This window comes from Homo sapiens, chromosome 1 (genome assembly GCF_000001405.40).
Source record: "Homo sapiens chromosome 1, GRCh38.p14 Primary Assembly".
In the NCBI taxonomy this organism is placed as follows: domain Eukaryota; kingdom Metazoa; phylum Chordata; class Mammalia; order Primates; family Hominidae; genus Homo; species Homo sapiens.
The window spans coordinates 102,889,367-102,911,246 of NC_000001.11; the positions used below are offsets into that span (position 1 = coordinate 102,889,367).

General features: G+C 32.1%; 1 protein-coding gene across 9 annotated transcripts in view; it reads right to left on the minus strand.

Moving 5' to 3' along the window:
- The window catches only part of COL11A1 (collagen type XI alpha 1 chain), a 232,050-nt gene that overhangs the window by 12,894 nt on the left and 197,276 nt on the right, over positions 1-21,880 (minus strand). For 8 of the 9 annotated variants that reach the window (NR_134980.2, NM_001190709.2, NM_080629.3 and 5 more), the window contains 5 exons: positions 9,575-9,628; positions 9,300-9,407; positions 8,759-8,812; positions 1,085-1,138; positions 89-196 (listed from right to left, as the gene is read on the minus strand). Coding sequence is in view for 8 of the 9 variants with exons in the window: in NM_001190709.2 (NP_001177638.1) it covers positions 89-196; positions 1,085-1,138; positions 8,759-8,812; positions 9,300-9,407; positions 9,575-9,628 (378 nt within the window). In the remaining variant the exon portion in view is untranslated. Of the gene's footprint in view, positions 1-88; positions 197-1,084; positions 1,139-5,528; positions 6,099-8,758; positions 8,813-9,299; positions 9,408-9,574; positions 9,629-21,880 lie in introns of those variants that run through there. The other variant, XM_017000336.2, reaches the window with a different exon arrangement.

The following is a 21,880-nucleotide window of genomic DNA, read 5'->3' on the forward strand; positions in this document are numbered from 1 at the left end:
GATCATACTTAAAGGACTGTGTGTGTGTGTGTGTGTGTGTGTGTATTATTGGAAATGAGTAGAAAAAATAACCTATATTTTTACTCACCCCATCCCCTTTTGCTCCTGGAGATCCTTGAGTTCCAGGGAGCCCTCGGTCACCTTTTTCCCCTTGTTCTCCTGGAGGACCAATCAGGCCAATTAAACCAGGATGTCCCTTTGAAAGGCAGAGAAAAAAAATAATAACATGTACATTACTATCTTCATAAAATTTTAGTTATAAAATATTTGCACATTAAATTTCTAAAGCATAAAAATGAACAATGCTGATAAAACAACATTAAAATACCCTTCTGAATGAAATATACAGTTAAGAATCTCCTTCTCATCACCTAACTGGATCTTTTACTGCTTACTTTAAGTGAGGGCTTTATTAAGCATTGGAAATATTACAAAACAAAATGCTTTCTAAAAATATCATTTTAAGTGTTCCATTTGAGGAATCTCTAAACCAATAATGATCTCCTATAATATAAGTTGAATAAATAACAGAAAACTCATTATTTTAATAGGCATCTCATTTAATATGAAATAATTTCTACTCTTCAGAGACTCTGCAGTCTTTAAAAGGCATTTGAAGATTTAAAAATAATCCAAACAATAATAATACCATTTTTAAAAAGGCTAATTTCTCTAAGTACTTGGTGCAACTCAGCATAAATTCTAGTACATCAAATTAGTATTTGAAAGATATTTCTAGTTTAAAATTTTTATTTTCACATTTAAAAACATAAAAATAGATATTTTGTTATTCAGTCTGTTTATTTTCTGAATAGTTATTTTAGTATAACCATATGCTTTCTACATATGGTTGCTATAATGGAACCTTGAGAAGATATAGCACTGAATTCCAGCACATTTTTCACTATTTGCATATTTTCTCCCCTCTACATACATCTGGGAAGCTAAGGATTGAAGCTTTTTTCAGGGTTAGAATGAAGATATTGTTTGAAATTTTCTTTTGAATGATTTTAATCTGCAAAAGCAGGGCTATTAGTATATAAAAGCATATTCTTTTATTAATAACACATTCTTTTATTCTCACCTTTTCACCCTTGGAGCCAGGGTCACCTTTGAGACCAGGTAAGCCAGGAGGTCCCTAAATAATAACAAAAAAAAAACCCCAAAACAAAAACAGAGTAGGTATGAATTAGAGAATCCTATAACTAGTCACAGACCTAGTTTAGTTTTGAAAATACGGAGTTGAAAATAGTAATGATTAATGTTGCTTTATTTTTAAGGCTTCTAAGTAAATTTATATATTTAAAACACTATGGTTTAATTTGTAACCATAATATTGATAATTTTGATTAAATGAATGTAAAGTTAGAAATAGAACATGGTTATATGGCTTTTCAGTTAAGAATAAAGTGTCAATTTTTAAGTACACTAGTTTTGGAAGGGATTTCCAAATTATATATCCAGTTACTCAAACATTTTTATGTTACATGAATTTAAAAGTTTATGATATTTTTAGTAACATTTTTGAAAAAACTCAATAAACTTTTGAACAGTCAATAGATCTTTGATAACCACAGGAAAAAAAATAGACAAAATTTTAATACACTGTTTGGTTTGTATTTAAATAACAACCTCTATTTGTATATGTTAGAATGGTTGCCTAATAATATTCTATAGAATAAGAAGATAATTCCTATATATACTAAATTAAAACATGGAACTCTGTAATTCTTCTAGGCCATGGCCAATTTTCTGAATTCTGATCTCAATTCTTATTCTTTGTTCTCTTGAAATCAGATGTCCTTCACTATGATTACTGGAGAGAGACATATACTACGAATACTTAATAATCCCAATAAAATATTGCATGTATATTATTCATGAAGAAGTTAGAGATCATGACTATTAATTTCTCTAAGCTAAAGTATAAGACGTTACAAACTACATCAAGATGGTACTTTCAGCTGTAATTTCTAAATTGCACCTCATATCTAAATGATTTATGAAATTAATAAAGAAATTTATTTTTTATATAAATATACTTCTATTTCAATAATTTAACGTTTTTAATAGTCCCAGACTAAGACATTTATCCTTTTAACTTACATTCTATGAAAATTATGGCATGACTTTAGCAACCAACTCTGTCCTGCCCCCCCGCCCAAGGAAATTTTCATACTGATGACTTTCGAACAAACTGTTTTATCTATAAATTGTTGTACTCTAGGCCAGGCACAATGGCTCACACCTGTAATCCTAGCAATTTGAGAGCCTGAGGTGGGAGGACCGCTTGAACCTAGGAATTTGCAACCAGCCTGGGTAACACAGTGAGACATTTTGTCTACAAAAAAAAAAAAAAAAGCAAAAACTAGAATAATTGGTGGTGTGCACCTGCTGTCCCAGCTACTTGAGAGGCTAAGGGAGGAGGGTCACTTGAACCCATGAGTTTGAGGCTTCGGTGAGCTAAGATCACACCACTGCACTCCTGCATGGGTGACAGAGGAACACCCTGTCGCTAGAGAAAGTAAACAAAACAAAACACAAAAACACACCACACTAACAAGCCAAATTGTTGTACTACAATTTTGAAGACAACACAAAATACAGTCCTTGTGAAATTATACAAGTGAAACTACGCAGGCAACAGATGCTGTTGGAAGTGAAACTGATGCTAAAAAAATGATTTATATGTGACTTATGAAATTAGGGCCACGATAACCTAGATATGTCACTATGTCACTACTGCTTGCCGCAAGTCCTAAGGCACCCAGCAACAAAAGCAAACTGTTCATATGGTTTCTCTATGAATTAGAATTATTTTGATAGAATTCAATTAGCTCAATTATAATTTCAGTAATAATTTTCATCATGGCTCTATGACAGCAAATTGTTTTAACTTTTTACCAAAGTACATCATGAGTCACCACTATTGTATCTTCTACAAGGCTACCATGAGTAATATTTTCCTCTATCTGGAAACACTATTTCTTCAGTGTAAAACAGCACATTATATCCTGGTCCATAATTTTTGTGAATTTAAAGCCTTAAGAACTATGGATCTGATCCAAGCAGTATGATGTACTAGGAAAAGTATGGGTTCAGAATAGATAAGGTCTGGCATAGATACCAAACTCTCTTCTTAGCTACTTAAATTAATTGGACAAATAGAGCTTCAGTTTTCTCATCTACAAGCTGGGGACTACAATTCCTATCTCATAGAGCTGCTGCATGAATGAGGATGGGCCCTCCCTATTCTTTAGTTTCTGAAGCCTGCTTCTCAAACCAAAACTGTGAATATCAGGAAAGAGCAAGAATAGTGTTAATATAAATTAGCCCTTGTGTAACAATGGTATTTTAGACTATTATTAGGTATACTTATGTTTTTTAATTCATAACTGAATTTGGAATTCTCTAAGTATTAAAGTGGACAATTTCCCTATATTATTCAATTAACAACAGACAAAAGTTATTTTCATACAAGCACATGCAGTTTTAAGTGTAGATATGCTTAATAATAATCTTCTAATAAGGAGAAAATTACTAATCCTCAGAGTCAAATTTATATGAATTTAGTTACATTCTCTTTTGTATAAGAATAAACAATCATCCTGCCCTGTTAAATCTCAGACAAAAAGACCACAATGAAATTGTCAAATTCACTTTCAAGTATATAGTTATCTCCCCATTACTGGGGCTTTGCTCTCCATAGTAAAAATTGTATAAACAGTGAAGCATAATATAAATTTGAATTATTATCATTAGTTTTAGATATGCTACAGATAAATACCTGTCAACTTTCTCATCCCATTCTAATAGAAAAAGCTAAAATGGCAAGAAAAGAACTACTAGTGATTCTAATTGCTCAAGCTTAGTGAAAAATATATTAGACATTATTTGTGTTTTAAATGCATTAAAAATCCTTTCCATAAATATTATTCATGAAGTTAAAGATAATGAATATTAATTTATCTAAGCTAATAATCTCTCTTAACATTATAAACTACATCTAAAGATGAGTTTGCCAAACAAAATCAGTTTTTATTTTCATCAGCTGGAAATAGAAATTGGTATGATATCGAGAGCAGTTATAAATAACCCTTTGAACCTGAAACAGATCAAAAACATCAACTCTGCATATAAAAATGTTATTCTAACTATACATATTTTCTATTTTTCTCTTTCGGATATTGTAAATTGAAAACCCCCAGGGAAATACATAATTCATAAGTAATAAAGTGAAAAGGAAAACAGGGATGATACATTCTTAAGTGTCTAGAATACACAAGCAAACATTTTCCCCTGCAGTATTATACTTTCTGGAATATTTGCTTTGATCTGCATTTCAAAACTCTAGTTCATTGAAATTTAAAGAAACTGCAGATCCTACACTTTATTTAAAATATAAAATTGTGGAATAATATTTAATCTGGTGAAAAGCAAATGCTTTTTTATTTAAACCTTTTTAATCATTGTGGAATGCTACCCATATCACCCTTGTCTACAGATAACTTAAATGTAGGATTAAAGAAATAAACTCTAATTCAGTATCCCATCCTATCTTTTAAGTTTTTATTGTTTAAAAAATAATGCTATCAGATATTTTATTTAACATTTTGTTATCAAAAGCAGAAATGTGTGATAATACTAAATAATCTTTTTTGAACATAAATGCTGAATAATTTTTCAGCTGCATTAAAACAAATAGAGTCTTAAAAGAATACAAAACAAAACAAAATAAAACCTTAAAGCTAAGACAGATGTTAATTCTGACTTCAAAAAATCAAATACATTTTAGTTTTAAAAGTGACTAAATCATTTTAATTTTGACTTTGTATCAGAGGGTAGAATTTAGACATCTTCATTCTTCTCTTTAAAACACTCAATTGGCCAGGCTTGGTGGCTCACGCCTGTAATCCCAGCACTTTGGGAGACAGAGGTGGATGGATCGCTTGAGCCCTGGAGTCCAAGAGCAGCCTGGGCAACTGTCAAAAACCTATCTGTACTAAAAATGACAAAAATTAGCCTGGTGCAGTGGCACAAACCTGCAGCCCCAGCTAACCGAGAGGCTGAGGCGGGAGGATCACCTAAGCCTAGAAGGACAAGGTTGTAGTGACTCGTGATTGTGCCACTGCACTCCAGCCCCGGTGATAGAGTGAGACTCTGTCTCAATAAATAAATACTGAAACATTCAGTCTTATTCCCATTTAATGTTGGTTGACTACTAAAATAGTAGTATAATTCAACCAATACAAAATTCTAATGAAAATTTTAAAAATCCTTTAAGAAACCCTAATAAAATTATATTATACCGACTCTAGCAGAGTCCCACTTAAAAAAACAAACTCCAATAGAGTTATTTATATAGGCTGATCATCATCCTTAGCTTTTGATTAGCTTCCATATGTGCTATTTATCTTTTTTATTTTTGAAACAGAGTCTCGCTCAGTCACCCAGGCTGGAGTGCAATGGTGTGATCTTGGCTTACTGAAACCTCCGCCTCCCAGGTTCAAGCTATTCTCCCACCTCAGCCTCCCGAGTAGCTGGGATTACAGGCGTGAGCCACCATGCCCAACCCTTATGTGCTATTTGTCAATCTTCAGTTCCATACGGTGATCTAAGTACACATTTGTAGTGTGTGTGAGTGTGTGTGTGTACACCTATACACATATACAAATGTAAATATATGTTGAATTCATGTTTATAAACAAGTTTTTTACCATGTGAAATATGTACTTTTTCAAGTAAAAAATAAATACTATATCACATCTGACTCTAGTAGAGCTGATAACATAGTGTGGGCAGACACCAAGCAGAAATCATTTTAAGAGTTTAAAAAATCAGTTTGTTTTACTCTACCCCAAAGAATTTCATATCCAGAAACTTCCTATAAAATTGTTAAACTTATCTATGTGTCTAATGGATGCTCTGTTAGATATTTCAATTGTCTAAATAGGTAGCTGCCAATCTGGAGAGATGAAAGTAGGTAAGTTGTACTTACTGAACAGCTAGGTTGTATTTAAAAGGTGGGGAAAAGGGGAATGTCTTGGTAGCTTTATCTCACCAGTAGAAACAATACAGTAGGTAGTTACAGGCAGCTTCTAGAAGGGGAAAAGAGACCCAATAGGTACTTGTGGAACTCCAATGATAAGCAAATTGAAGCCTGTGTAGATTTGGATATGGATGTGAATATATGTTATAATGAGGAAAAAATTCATCATGGAGAAAGTATTATTATTATAGCTTTCACACAGATTAATTTCAGAGATTAATAGAAACCTCTATGAATTTCCAAATCTCGTTAATCTCACAGCCACTGTGTTATCCACACTTACACCTCTCTGTTCCTTCTTTAATAATCGTATCATATTTCTAAACAGGGAAGGGTCCCTAGAGGAAATTACATTTAAATGGTCCAACTCTGTGTATATCTAGTATCCTCTGCTTGAGTCTATCATAGTACTTAACATGTTAACACTCTAACTTTTCTAAGTATAATTGTACTTGTTGATCTCTTCCATTTGCTTTAATAGTCAACAACTTGCATAAGGTTTATTGATGACACACATGCATGAATGAGGTCAAATTTAGTTACTTTCCACTAAGAATATAAAATTGATTGGTTTTCAACATATTTATCATTATTTCATTCATTTAATGATTCTTGATTTGGTGCTACTAGTGCTAATTGTTGATATAAAAGTGATTTACAAGCAATTCATTTAATTAACTTAAGAACCCCATGGGGTAGAAGATATCCATATCCCAATTGAACTCACTTAAACTTTAGAAATATCACTGGATAGAGGCTAGCAATATTCCCATTTTATAAATGAAGAACTTAAAGCCAAAAAAAAAAAAAAGGTAATGTTCCTAAAGTCATCCACCAAGTAAGTGGTAGTGATTGTTTCTGAACCCAGGAGTTTGGCTCTAGAGTCGATAACCTTAACTAGTAACCATAATAAGTTACTTCTCATTCTGATTTAAAAATTACCTACTAAAATAGATCTTTCTTAGTTGAGTTGAAAGGCTCATTAAATTGCCATAAATGGCATTTTGAAGATGATTTATCTGCCCATCCTCACCTCATGAAGACCAAGTAGCATTTTCATTGAGATTACATATCACAAGTCAAGACTAATTAAAGCTATGAAAAAACTACACATTATATTCACATCGTAAGTACTCGCCATAAAACAAGCAGTCAGAATGGAATGTGCCCATGCAGCCCACTTCTGATGTTTATCATTCCGCTTTACCTAAAGGATTTGGAAATTATTCTGTCCTCTTGCGCTGTAAACTCACATTTATTTAAAAGACAAAAATACAAAAGTTTGTATGCCAAATCAGGTGGTATGTCAGAAGGTTTTATTTTTAATATTAGCTGAAGGAAATCTCCAGCATGGTGCTTTTTATTTCATCTGCAGAAAGGTCAAAATATTTACCGGAAAATCTGAAATAACAAGAAAAAATCTCTGGCAAATTTTAGAGTGACATTAAGGCAAGGTATTTTTTCCTTCCAGGCTCTGACTCTGGGCAGTTATGAGTTTATCATATCTAAGGAGAATATTCATAAGTAATGGTACAGATGTGGAGCTGATCCTGCTTCAACCGGGGCCCTTTTCCTAAGCTGATGAGATAATGGGCAGAACTGATCATCTCCTGCTTGAAATCTACCAAAATTTGATAACTTTTATCTAGTTACTAAATAAGTGATCTTTAAATTCTTCAGTGAAAGTTTAAATAATCTCTTTAAAACTTATGAAATATTTGGTAGGTATGCTTTGCATACCAAAGATGCTGTGGCATCTTTGTTAAAAGGAATAACCAAAATTTTTCCTGAATGAACTGTGAATCCCAGTTGTGATGGCTTTGTGCGTATGTTTCTATCTCTGAGATAATTAATATATTTATGATAAAAGGCATTTGAATAAATTTTAAAATACCATATAGCAGGACTTAACTAATACTCACCACACATACGAGTGCTATATGTATGATTTGCCATTTTGATTAATCACTCCACACTTAACTATTACTGGATAATGACACTCAAAAATCTCTACCATAAGAAAAAAAAATATATATATATATAAAGCAACTAAGTCACCTAGTAAGGAATTATTTTAAAGGGCAAGTCTTTTATTCTCACTTTTTGCCCAAATTTGTATCAAGTATAGCCTCAGATCCTATAATAAACTCCACCTATGAATAGTATCCCAGTCAACAAAATACTTTATTGCATTTCTCAAGCATGTTGTTTGCACACAGATTTAATGATAGTGACCAAGCTTCAGTGTTACAGTAGCCATATCTTTTTTCACTGAGTTTTACTGTTTTATGTTTCAGCCTGTATGACTCACGAAGAGAACAATTTGTTTCGTCAAAGAATCACTCTATGCTGGTGCCAGCATACTTTTTAAAGTGAAATGCCAGGAAAATAAGTGTAACTGCAAACGTTTTAGGGAACTATCCAGACTAGGAAAAACACTGGCTGGATCATTAGTGGCATTTCATTCAGAGTGGAAATATTTTTTCATCCAAAGTGCATAAGAAAGAAACAAATCTTCTGATCAAGTGGTTTATTTTCCATATACCTATCAGTTAGGATTACTTTCCTCTAAGACAAAATAATATACTTCTTGGACTATTAGAAAAAATACAAACCTATTTATAAACTAAAATGTCAAAAATTCTAGCTAATAAACAATTTTGTTTTAGAAATTCTCACTTTTTAAATGACTGAAAAGATCTTACTCACCATAGGACCAGGTGGTCCATCTTGGCCTGCAGCTCCAGGGAGACCTTGTTCTCCCTAGAGAAAATAAAAATGATTGATTTTTAAAATTAATAAAATAATACATATTTATTTATTTATTTTAAATTTTAGAAATACAATAAGAAAACAAAGGAAATATCACCCTTAAGTTCCACCATATGGAGGACATCTACAAATATTGTAAATAATTTTGTGTCTTTAATATGTGTATATGTCTATATTCAAATACACACCTATATATACATATACATAGGTTATATATAAACATTTCACATCATTGAAATTTTAAAATTTGGTTTTCTATTTTCTCTTTATAAGTTAGTGTTTCACCATGAACTTATTAAATAAATGATATACTTAAATATATGAAGAATATCTTTTTTACATTATATTTACAGAATTCCCACAAAATTATCCACGTTATAACTTATGAAATAATGCTAACATAGACACCTTCATTCAAAATTTTTTTAAAATAAAAATGTTATTTTCAAAATGGCATCTTTTTAACACAGATGCTCACCACAGGACCAGGGATGCCCCGAAGACCTTCTGGACCAGGCTTTCCTGCAGGTCCCTGAGGACCGACTGGGCCGGTTTTTCCAGGAGGACCTTCTGCACCTGCTTCCCCCTGTTAGAAAGTAAAATATGGGAGCACATTAGTGATGAGAAAATACTTTTATTATTTTATTAAATGCACTGAAAAAAGTAGATCAGTTTATGCATGAAATTTTCAAATATAATACCTTGTATATATAATATATAATATATATTATGTATATATTATTTTTTTTTTACCTTAGCACCTTTTTCACCTTGTCTTCCCTCTGCACCTGCAGCTCCAGGAGGACCCTATAGACATAAGATTTATTGTAAAATATGTATCACATATAAAAGTAATGTTAATGAGCACTTGTTTACAAACACTAAACTTTAGTTTGTAACAGATGAATAAATTGTAGTTTTCTATCACTATTTGGTTTAAAACATAATAACGAAAATCAAAACCCATTTTATGTACAAACTTCCTCTTAGAATACTGAAAAACAGCACAAATTAAGTATACAACAATCACTTCACATCAATATAAGAAAGCAGTAAAAATAAAGTTTTTAAAGAAATGCTGATGAATTAAAATCGCCACCCTGAGTGTGTTAAATACTGATATATCATTTATGTTTATTATTAGAAATTAATTTAATATATCTACTTGTATTCTACTTTTATTCTCATATGTGTTTTAAGAATGGCCCCTTCCTTAATCTTAGAATATGTATATGTTCATGCATTCTTACAGGATCACATAACAACTAAAGAAACACAATATTTTAAATTATGATGGTCAACAGACACAGTATTTTCATTTTTGAGAACTATGCAGTTCACATAAATAGGTAAAATGAAAGCAAATATCACTTTTTAAATCCTAATATTAGAAGTAAAATTGAAAAAAAAATTACACTTTAGATGCCATCCAAAAGCATAAGTACAGAATGACTGAAAAAGAAACTTAATGATCTCTAAGAAACTGCTTTTCATTTTTTTCCCTCAGACTGTCTTGTTTTTCCATTCATTTACCTTAATTTTCATAATAAATTGTGCTCAAAATCATTAACTGAGATTGGGGTTGGTGGTTGCAGAGAGTAGTCATGGTGGTGTTAATTGGTGAGAATAAGGTGAGGCAGGAGGGTGACTGTTCCTTTTCAGATGCCATATTAATATTTTAATGGTGAATATATCCCAGCCTTTTATATCGTATTTTAAACTGAGTATCAATAGTGGTGGATGATGAGAGGTTGCTTGGAGGGTACAACGTGCATTGCTTCAGTGATGGATGCACTGAAGGCCCAGACTTCATCACAATGTAATATCAGTATAGCAAAATTGCACGTGTACCCCATGAATTTATACACAAAGTAAAGATGAATAAAATGAGTATCAAGCACTTCAATTCCACGAACTCATTTTATCTCAGAAAGAGTCAATGATGACATCATTAGTAATGATTTTCTCAATATCATTCCTATAACTATCTATTATTAGACATTCATTGTACCTCAACCCAAAGATAAAAAATGTATAAATTCTATGGGTAATCTCTTGAGGTGGAATCAATATGCTAATAATAATATATACATTAAAACTTCAAAGGACATCTTTCAAATTTCATATTTAAGCAAAAGGAATTCTGTGTTGAGCCATGAATTTCAAATTTGTTCTATTGTTAAAATGTTGAGCCAGAAATTATTTTGGTGTGATCTTTAAAATAATAACATATGCAAAGTAGATACAACAATAATAATGATTATTATTTGGGAAATAGAAATAATGACATTCAATGAAATAATAGCTTTTCCTTATTCAATGACAGTTTTTCCTTAAACTAGTAACATAATGATATGTGGGCTTAACCTGAAAAGATTGCATTTACAAACATGAAGTTTATAGTAGAAAAGATATATCAATACATGGCTTTTAAAAAAGCAAGCCATCTATTGTCTAAAATTGGAAGGAAAATATCACCTTTACTTCAAAGGAGAAAGAAAATCAGTATTAGAAGAGCCCAGAGAATTTTAACATAACTAAATGACAATACAGCAACTAAGTTGTGATTAAAATAAAGGGCTTCTTGTCTAAATAATTTCTTCCTTCTGTGAACAAATATCTGTCATAGTAAAAATTTTATTAAATGACTTTGTTCTGTTCTTTTTCTCATTTTTCCCAATTTTATTTATTCCTTATATGTTTTCCAGATGACAAAAAAATAAGAAAAATGACGACAAAAGCAGATATACTTTTCCTGAGAGAGTAGTAAGTCAAGTGGGACCTAATAGAAGGTGTTAAGGTCATGAGGGCTCATGAATTGATTAATAATAAATATAAAAGGGCTGAGGCAGCCAGGCACAGCAGTTCATTCCTGTAATCCCAGCATTTTGGGAGACCAAGGCAGGCGGATCGCCTCAGGCCAGGAGTTCGAGACCAGCTGGGCCAACACAGTGAAACCCGTCTCTACTAAAAATACAAAAAATTAGCTGGGCGTGGTGGTGGGCACCTGTAATCCCAGCTACTCGGGAGGCTGAGGCAGGAGAATCGCTTGAACCCGGGAGGCAGAACTTGCAGTGAGCCGAGATTGCACGATTGTGCTCCAGCCTGGGAAATAAAAGCAAAACTCTGTCTAAAAAAAAAAAAAAAAAACTGAGGCTGTGAATTTGATGTCTTGCTCTTTCAAGTCTGCTCCTTGTCCTTCCACCATGGTATGACACTGCAACAAGGCCCTTGCAAAATGTGGCCACTCAATCTTGGATGTCCCATCCTTCAGCCAATAAATCTGTGCTTATTATACATTACAGAGTCTGTGTTATTCTGTTATAGTAGTACAAAACAAAGAATGCCTACGGACAAATTGTTGTCCCAATAACTTATTCCTCATATGTTTGCATAAACGAAGGGGCAGAAACTTAATCTGGTGAGCTCTTGCTGCACTTTGATGAAGTAATGAGTGTTCTTATTGAAAAATACCTCATAAAAACATAACCCACTAAAATAGGGCCTAGTTAATTCTCCACCAGTAGTTATTGTTATAACAGATTTTTCTACTCAAGAGAACTATTCTTCATATAAAGCATCTAATATAATCTTCTTTTCACTATTCAAGTTTTACAGTATGATTCTGTAATTTAATCATTTTTCCACTCATGTCACAAACATTTAAATATCCCTTATATTCCAGAATGTGCTATGCATATACATAACATGTAAAATCAAATCCCTAAGAAATTCACAGAATTTAGTCACAAACACAGATACAAAAATTAACAAATAGAACACTGTAAAATAAACAAAGATGATATCAGTGTACAAAATAGGTACAATGATCCAGTTTGGCAGTATAGAGGATTTTCCTAAAAACCTAGTCTCTGATCTGAATCTTACAGTGTGAGTTGATGAGAGAGGGATGGCTTCTTCTAACACTTTACCTTCTGATCACTCACGTGCATGCTTAAAGGAATAAGAATGGAAAGTACATGATAGTCTCTATGGACCTGTTAAGAGTTCACTTAGGCCAGTAGCTAAGCATCTATGCATTTGTCTTGCTATGAGTCAGAATATTAGGGTGCATGAGTATGTGGTGACTTGAGAGTTAGGGAGGAAAAAAGAGAATTGGAGAAAGGCAGAGTCTTGGCATATGGAGATCTTGATTTTTTAATATTAGCAAAATAAACTGCCAAATTTAGTATACAGTTAGCTATTTGGATAAACAGACATTTTTGAACATGTTAAATGAACAAGAATTTTTGTTTCCCCACATTAAAAAATTAGAACAATTTTCCCAAAAGTATTAAAAACATTAATATTTAAAATAGCTTAAAAATAAATAAATTTGATTCAAAATTTTTAGAACCTTTAATACTCTTCTTGAACTATGAATCTCCTAGAAAGGTATATAATCTCTTCAGTGATTCTCAAATTAAATGCAGACCTTGTTTTCATAATGACCTTACTTGGAAGGCACAGTTTTGTACCACACAGAAATTTTAAGAGGATTTATAATTTATTTTATTATTACAATGTACTTTCTATCTATACATTTATATTAGAATTTTTCAAAGGACTTTGTAAAAGAAAATGTCTGAATTTGAAATTTGAATTAATACTATATATAATAATACTTTATATGTGTGTGCATATATATATATACACACACATAGTACATGCATATACAAGGTACACACACATATATATATACTATATTATATATATGATGTGTGTGTGCATAATAAGTTAAAACTTCATCTGTCATTATAACCAGTTAATAACAACAGTTACCATTTTAATTTTTTATTGTGAACTTCCCTTTGGCAATATGAGCCGAATTCAAATTTCCATTTAATATGTGCATTTTCAGGTTATAATGCTTAAATTATTTTGGTCAGCTCTAGATTTTTTTTTCAGTAAAAGGACATGGAACTAGCTAAAATGATAACTTTAGTATTAGAAGTCCATGGCTTATTGAAACAAGCTGTACAAATCTTCCAGTCCCTTAAGGAAATATACATTCATTCTCAAGTATTACAAATGCATGACAGAAAGTACATGTACTATGAATGATAATGTAATTCTCCTACTTGTTTAATAACCACTAGAATTTTCTTTCTCAGTATCACTGCCACTTACAACATTATGATCAATATTCTGTTAGGAAGTTTTATTATCATTCATGCGTAAGATTCAATCACAGAAAAAAAGTGGTAATACTTTTGAACACATTTCTTGTCATTGCTACTTCCGCCATAAGATATTATAAAAAAAATTGTGGCTTTTTTATTGTTTCCACAGTGGGAAAGTAAGGATCTGAGAAATGTTAATTTCCACAAAATATATACAAACCTAATTTAAGATTAACATTTCTAGATGGACTAAAGGGAAACAGATTGTAAGGCAAATCTGTATTCAACCAAAGCACAAGCCTGTAGAACAGATATTACCTTACTGCATAGAAATATGCTCTTGCTATTTTCACAAAAGTGGTATTAAATTGATTGCTGCATCAGATATTGAACTCAAAGGTTTGTGGTGACAGTATTCTCAAATCAGTTTCAATTCATAGAATTCACTCTGCATTATACCCCTCTATGATTAGATGTTTGTGTTCACCTGTGGTATAGACAAAGTGACCTCACATATGTACAGTGTATAAACAGAGTGATCTCACTTATGTACAGTACTTTCTTCTTTTCGACACAGGGTCTCACTCAGTTGCTCAGGCTGGACAGCAGTGGTGCTATCTTGGCTCACTGCAGCCTCGAACTCCTGGGCTCAAGCTATTCTCCCACCTCAGCCTCAGAGTACCTAGGACTACAGGCTCATGTCATCATACCTGACTAATTTTTGTATTTTTTTGTAGAGACAGGGTTTCACCATGTTGCCCAGGCTGATCTCCTACTCCTGAGCTCAAGTGATCCTCTTGCTTCAGCCTCTCAAAGTGCTGGGATCTTGAATTAAATTTTGTATAAGGTGTAAGGAAGGGATCCAGTTTTAGCTTTCTACATATGGCTAGCCAGTTTTATACAAAAATTAATTCAAGATGGATTAAAGACTTAAATGTTAGACCTAAAACCATATAAACCACAGAAGAAAACCTAGGCAATACTATTCAGGACATAGGCATGGGCAAGGACTTCATGTCTAAAACACCAAAAGCAATGGCAACAAAAGCCAAAATTGACAAATGGGATCTAATTAAACTAAAGAGATTCTGCACAGCAAAAGAAACTACCATCAGAGTGAACAGGCAACCTACAGAATGGGAGAAAATTTTTGCAACCTACTTATCTGACAAAGGGCTAATATCCAGAATCTACAATGAACTCAAACAAATTTACAAGAAAAAAACAAACAACCCCATCAAAAAGTGGGTGAAGGATATGAACAGACAGTTCTCAAAAGAAGATATTTATGCAGCCAAAAAACACATGAAAAAATGCTCATCATCACTGGCCATCAGAGAAATGCAAATCAAAACCACAATGAGATACCATCTCACACCAGTTAGAATGGTGATCATTAAAAAGTCAGGAAACAACAGGTGCTGGAGAGGATGTGGAGAAATAGGAACACTTTTACACTGTTGGTGGGACTGTAAACTAGTTCAACCATTGTGGAAGTCGGTGTGGCAATTCCTCAGGGATCTAGAACTAGAAATACCATTTGACCCAGCCATCCCATTACTGGGTATATACCCAAAGGATTATAAATCATGCTGCTATAGACACATGCACACATATGTTTATAGCGGCACTATTCACAATAGCAAAGACTTGGAACCAACCTAAATGTCTGACAACAATAGACTGGATTAAGAAAATGTGGTACATATACACCATGGAATACTATGCAGCCATAAAAAATGATGAGTTCATGTCCTTTGTAGGGACATGGATGAAACTGGAAACCATCATTCTCAGCAAACTATCGCAAGGACAAAAAACCAAACACCGCATGTTCTCACTCATAGGTGGGAACTGAACAATGAGAACACATGGACACAGGAAAGGGAACATCACACACCAGGGACTGTTGTGGGGTGGGGGGAGGGGGGAGGGATAGCATTAGGAGATATACCTAATGCTAAATGACGAGTTACTGGGTGCAGCACACCAACATGGCACATGTATACATATGTAACAAACCTACAGGTTGTGCACATGTACCCTAAAACTTAAAGTATAATAATAATAAAATAAAAATTAAAAAAAAAGGAAAGAGAGAGAAAGGAAGGAAGGAAGAAAGGAAGAAAAGAAGGAGGGAGGGAGGAAGGAAAATTAGTGGTGCCTTTATTTGTACCCTGAGTTGCTAAAGCACCCATATAAGTTAAAAAAAAAAAAAAAAGTGCTGGGATCGTGGGTGTGACCAAATACCTCTTTCTCAGTTGACTCATAGTTTAATAACTTTATTATTTCTTAAACTGGTCTTAAATATCTACTGTTTGACAAATCCATTTTATTAAAATATACATGAAGTTGTCATGAGTTTAAATGCTTCTATTTTTGGTAATTGTTCTCATAGGAAATTCTTTACCATATATGTCACATGAATTTGTACCAAGGGATAACCAATTTATATTAGTATTACAAATATAAATTTCCTTAAAATCACAATATACTATACTCTGAAAGTGCAGTTAATTAATATTCTATATCCTTTTTGTATGTGTATCACCCAGTTAGTTCAGTATTGGTCACTGCTGAACTCAAACAACAAAGCAAAATCAACAATAAACAAAACTAACTTTACCATGAATTTATTGCTAACGAGCTATCATTTCATGTATACAACTAGGATATTGGAAGAAAATATTTTACTCCTTATTTTATATTTTATTTAATAATAGGTTTATTTAGTTTATAAATGATACTACAATTGGAAACCCTTATTCAATGCTTAATAATAACATCCACTGTTTGAGATTCTGATAGATTCAGGCATTAGGCTTTGTGCTTTAAATATACATTTTCTTAATTTAGTCCTCACTTCAGTATTGTAAATTAGTTATTATGCCTGCTTTTTAAATGAGAAAACTGAGACTCAAATAAATTAACTTATCCCAAGTCACATTTTTAAGTAGCAAGGATTTGAAACAAGTTCTGTCTGATTCTGATGCAACAGCATTCTGGTCTCTACTTTTCAGTGAAATTAAGATAAAAGGAGTGTCAGTTTATAGGTTGCAAATAATGTTAGTAAGTAATTTGGGCTTCAATTTTTGGGTTTACTTTTTGTTTTCTTGAGAGAGGGTCTCCCTCTGTTGTTCAGATTGGAGTACAGTAGAACAATCATGACTCACTGCAGCCTGGACCTCCCAGGCTCATGCAATCCTCCCACCTCAGCCTCCCAAGTAGCTGGGACTACAGGCATGTGCCACCACACCTGGGTAATTTTTAAAAGTTTCTGTGAAGATGAGGGTCTCACTATGTTGTCTCAAAGTCCTGGGCTTAAGCAATACTCCTGCCTAAGTCTCTGAAAGTGCTGGGATTACAGGTGTCAGCCACTGCACTTGACCTGTGTTTCCATTTTTTTTTTCTTTTTCTTTTTCTTTTTTCAAGCTAAGCCACCTATTTGTTTATGTTGAGGTAGAGTTATTGACTAAATTAACTAGTGCTGTAGGCTGTAAATTAATGGTGCAAGCATTAATTGCTAGTGTTAAATCAGAACAAATCATAGTTTTGGTAATAAGATTGTTGACATAAGAGTAATTTTTCACACCATTAAAATATATTTTACTCTGGTGAAGAAAATAGATTATTATGTAAAACAGAAAGAAGCAATTAAGCATGCCAGTTTATCCAAACCTAATATAGAAAACAATTTAACATATTGTGTTAAATGGTTTTCAGTTTCAATTTATTGTTGCCATATTTTAAAAGAGAAAACCCTGCATATTATGCTCGATCGGGCTGACCTAAGGTTGATTTTTCTATTATATGAAAATGAATGTGAATAGCTTTGTAAGCAATGCATAGTCACCACCGTTCTCATGTTATTATTAATTCATGAATACAAAGCCTTCTAATTTTGTTTACAAAGTGACTAGAATGGATTAAAATAGCTCATCATCTTTCTATAAATTGTAATTTAAAAAGAGAGGATAGAACAGTGCTAAAATTTTTATGAGGTTATTTTAAAATAATTTATCAAAAATCAAAGGGAACTCAACTAATGTACTATCTCATAATGTTAAAGAACATATGCTAGAATGACTCAATATTATATTATTTTAGGCTTTCAACCTAAATGCACTACATAATACAGTATCATTAACTTAGAAGCTTCCTACATACCACTCGTAACAATTGCAACCCACTTTTTTTCCACAGAAGTAACTACCATCCTAAATTTTTGTTAATCATTGGCTTATGTTTCTTTATCATGTTTACCACTTATGTTAAAATGCTAAACATATCTGTAACAATTCTGCATATTATATAAATGAAATAATGTAATATATATTTTCCAGTTCAACGTTATATACACATACACACACAAGACATACATATACACATACACATATTTATTCTGCTTAATGTTTAATATTAGATTTTGAGATTCATCTGTTATGCATGCATCTGTAGTGCATTTATTTTATTAGCATACAAAATTTTAGTTTATTAATATACTTCAATTAACTTATATTGTCTACAGTTATTATTAACAAGGATAACAAAACATTATTCCTTGAGTCTTTTGGTGGATATGTGCAAAATGTCATCTAGGATATGTGCTTAGAAATGGAATTACCAGATGACAGAAAAAGTTCATGTTAGATTCTATTAGGTAACATAGAACTATTTCCCTAAAGTGGCAGTGCCCAGTAACTCAAAACAGCCATGCATAATAATCTTCACTGTTTTTTGAAAACATTCTTCCCAATACTTGGTTTGTCAGAGTACATTTTTGTTAATTGGTGTATGTGATATAGTATCTCAGTGTAATTTCTGGTACACACTTTCCTGATTTCTACAAATATTTTTTCTTGTTTCATGGGGTATTTGTGTCAAATACTTTTTCATGCCTTTGGCATATTTTTTTCTATTGTTTTTTCTTGCTATTATAATTTGTAAGAAATACTTAGATATTCTAACAAATTATTCTATGCATGTTTCCTGTATGTTACAAATATTTTCTCCTAATCGGATCTTTTTGTTCCAATGTCTTCTAAGTATTTTTGGATAAATAGGAAATTTCAATGGTCATATATTTGATACATCAATCTATTCCTTTCTGATTACACCTGTGTGATCAGAATTTATGACTGGAGGTCAAAAAATTACTCTCAAATAATTTTTGGTAAAATATTTCAAAGTTTACCTTTGACATTTATGATTATAAATCAATTAGAACTGAATTCTGTTAAATGAGCTAGATGAGGTATATTTAATCTTTTTCCATATAGAAAATCATTTCTCCCAGCAGAATTTTTTCAATAGTCTATCCACTTTCCATTGATGTGTAATGTCCAATTTGTTACAAATAAGGTTTACATATACCCTTAGGTATTTTCTGGTCTTTTTCTTCAATGAGACCATTGCCTATATATCTATATAAAAAAATCAAGTATAACTTTGCAAGTAAATTATCTTAATTTCTTATTTTTTACCCACCTCATAAATCCACTTAACCATAATTTTATTTTTTTAAGGGTTTTTAAATACATTTTAATCAGGGGAGTTAACAATGTTGTCTAGTTAGAAATACTGGCAGGAATGAGAGTAACATAATTTTTCTATTTTCTAATTGTATTTGACATTTATATCTAAAGAAAAATTTACCAATTGCTTACAATTTCACAATATCATGTAATCTTTAATTTTGGATGAAAAAATAATTATTGATTATTGCTATAATATGGATATTTCTCCCCTCCAAACCTCATGTTGAAATTTTATTCCAAATCTTGGCGGTAGAGCCCAATAGGAGGTGTCTGAGTCATGGGGATGGATTTCTTATGAATAGATTAATACCTTTCCAGGATGGGTGTGAGTGGCTTCTCACTCTGTTAGTTCCTGAGAGAGCTGGTTGTTAAAAAGTGCCTGGCACCTCTGCTGCCCCTTCTTGCTTCCTCTGTCACCTTGTTATCACTGCACACACCCCCTCTGCTTCTCCTTCCAGCATGAGTGGGAGCAGCCTGAGGCCCTCACCAGAAGCAGATGTTGGCATCATGCTTCCTGTAGAGCCTGCAGAACTGTGAGCTAGATAAACCTCTTTTCTTTATAAATTACCCAGCCTCAGGTATTCTTTTATAGCAACACTAAATGTACTAAAAAAGGATGCTTCATGTTCTTAAAGCAACAAATAACTAAATTTTTTTGTACATTATATTTTCATTAATATACTACTATATTTTATTATAACTGATTATTTCTAATATATGAAAATGCATCCTTCATTATAAGAGACAAGAATTAAGAATCAGCAATTAACTCATGTTTTAAAATTATATCTCATTTAACTAGAAATTGCAGAGGTCCAACTCAGATGTAAATGAATAAGAATGTAAATACATGGACTTTCTCTTACTCAAAACTACTTCGGTGTTGTAGAGCAAATATATAATCTAAATCTGAATATGTATTGAATTTTCTACGATATTTTCTCAATTCCAGAATTGAGGGGAGGTCTTCCTAGGAGTCTGAGTTATTCACTAAAATTATAATTGTCGATCATTATCCATTCCAAAGTAATAAACACAAATATATTTTAAAAATATGTTATAATAAAGAATAAAAATTTGCTGCATTATATTATCATGATTTTAAAATTAGTAAATATGACTGAAAATATTTTGAAAGTTTATAATATCAATAGCGTCAACATTATTATGTCAAAATAGCTTCACACAACAGTTTAATAGTTTTAACATATAATATTTTTATGTGATAGTTATAGGTTTATATATAAGTTTTGGGTCATATTATTATACTAAAAGGCTCATGAGATTTACTGGTTCACACATATATGTCTCTTTTTTATGTTTGCATTAATACTCTTTAATAGGTTATTTTATTCTATTACTTAAAAAATTTTTCAAAAATATTCAGTTGTTTTCAAAATGAATAATTCATGTGACCCACCACTGAATGGCTAAAGAAACAAATACATTCTATAACTCTGTTACCATGTTAAGATACTTCATCTCAAATATCAAATGATAATTACTTAAATTTATTAAAAAATATAAATATGTACTTTTTTGACATATTTTAAAATGAAACTAGACTAGATAGCACTTGCTGAGAGTTTGACTTGAGTAATGAAATGAGCTGAGAAGCTGCCAATATGTAATAGAATATTTAAAATCAATTTTGATATAGTCTCTCCTTTTCTAGCTGCTACCACATTTTGAAGCAAGGTTTAATTTCCTTGCTTATATTAAAAGCATCATACTTTATACTTGTATGATGATTATCCCTGTGCTCAGAAGTGTTTAATAACTATGCCATAACTCAGTGCTAACACAGCAACAGTTATGAGGTGATTTTTTTTTTTATTGTGTTACATGATTTATCTTATGTTCAACCCAACACTAGGGTGGGTGTTAGGTCCTCTGAGAAACAGAAAATACACAATTTGCCCAACGTAATACAGGTAATAACTGGTGTAGCTGGGTTGAAAGCCAGCTATTGTGACTGCATTGTTCTACTAACCACATTATATAGCATCCCACCATCTGAGGCCAGAAAAAAGATAAAAAAAATGATTTCCTGTTGTTCCAAGAAGTATTTCAACTCATTCTCAAGGATGTTTTTTATAGTTATTCTTCCAAAAGGTCTGAAATAGTATAATAGACAGCTATGCATCACAGTTTTATGAGCAGCTGGACTTACAGCAGAAAGAGGCAATGGATATCAAAAATCATGTACACTTTCCAATTACTTTCTAAGAATAATAGTCCCATGGTTGTTTGGGGATAAATCTATTGACACTGAGACCATGCTTTGGGGTTGTAGACACAATAATAATAATAAAAGAAAATGTAAGAAAATGTACTTGGCCAATGAAGAGCAAATTGTTTTCAGAGACAAGTTTTATTATAAATTAAATATATTTTTG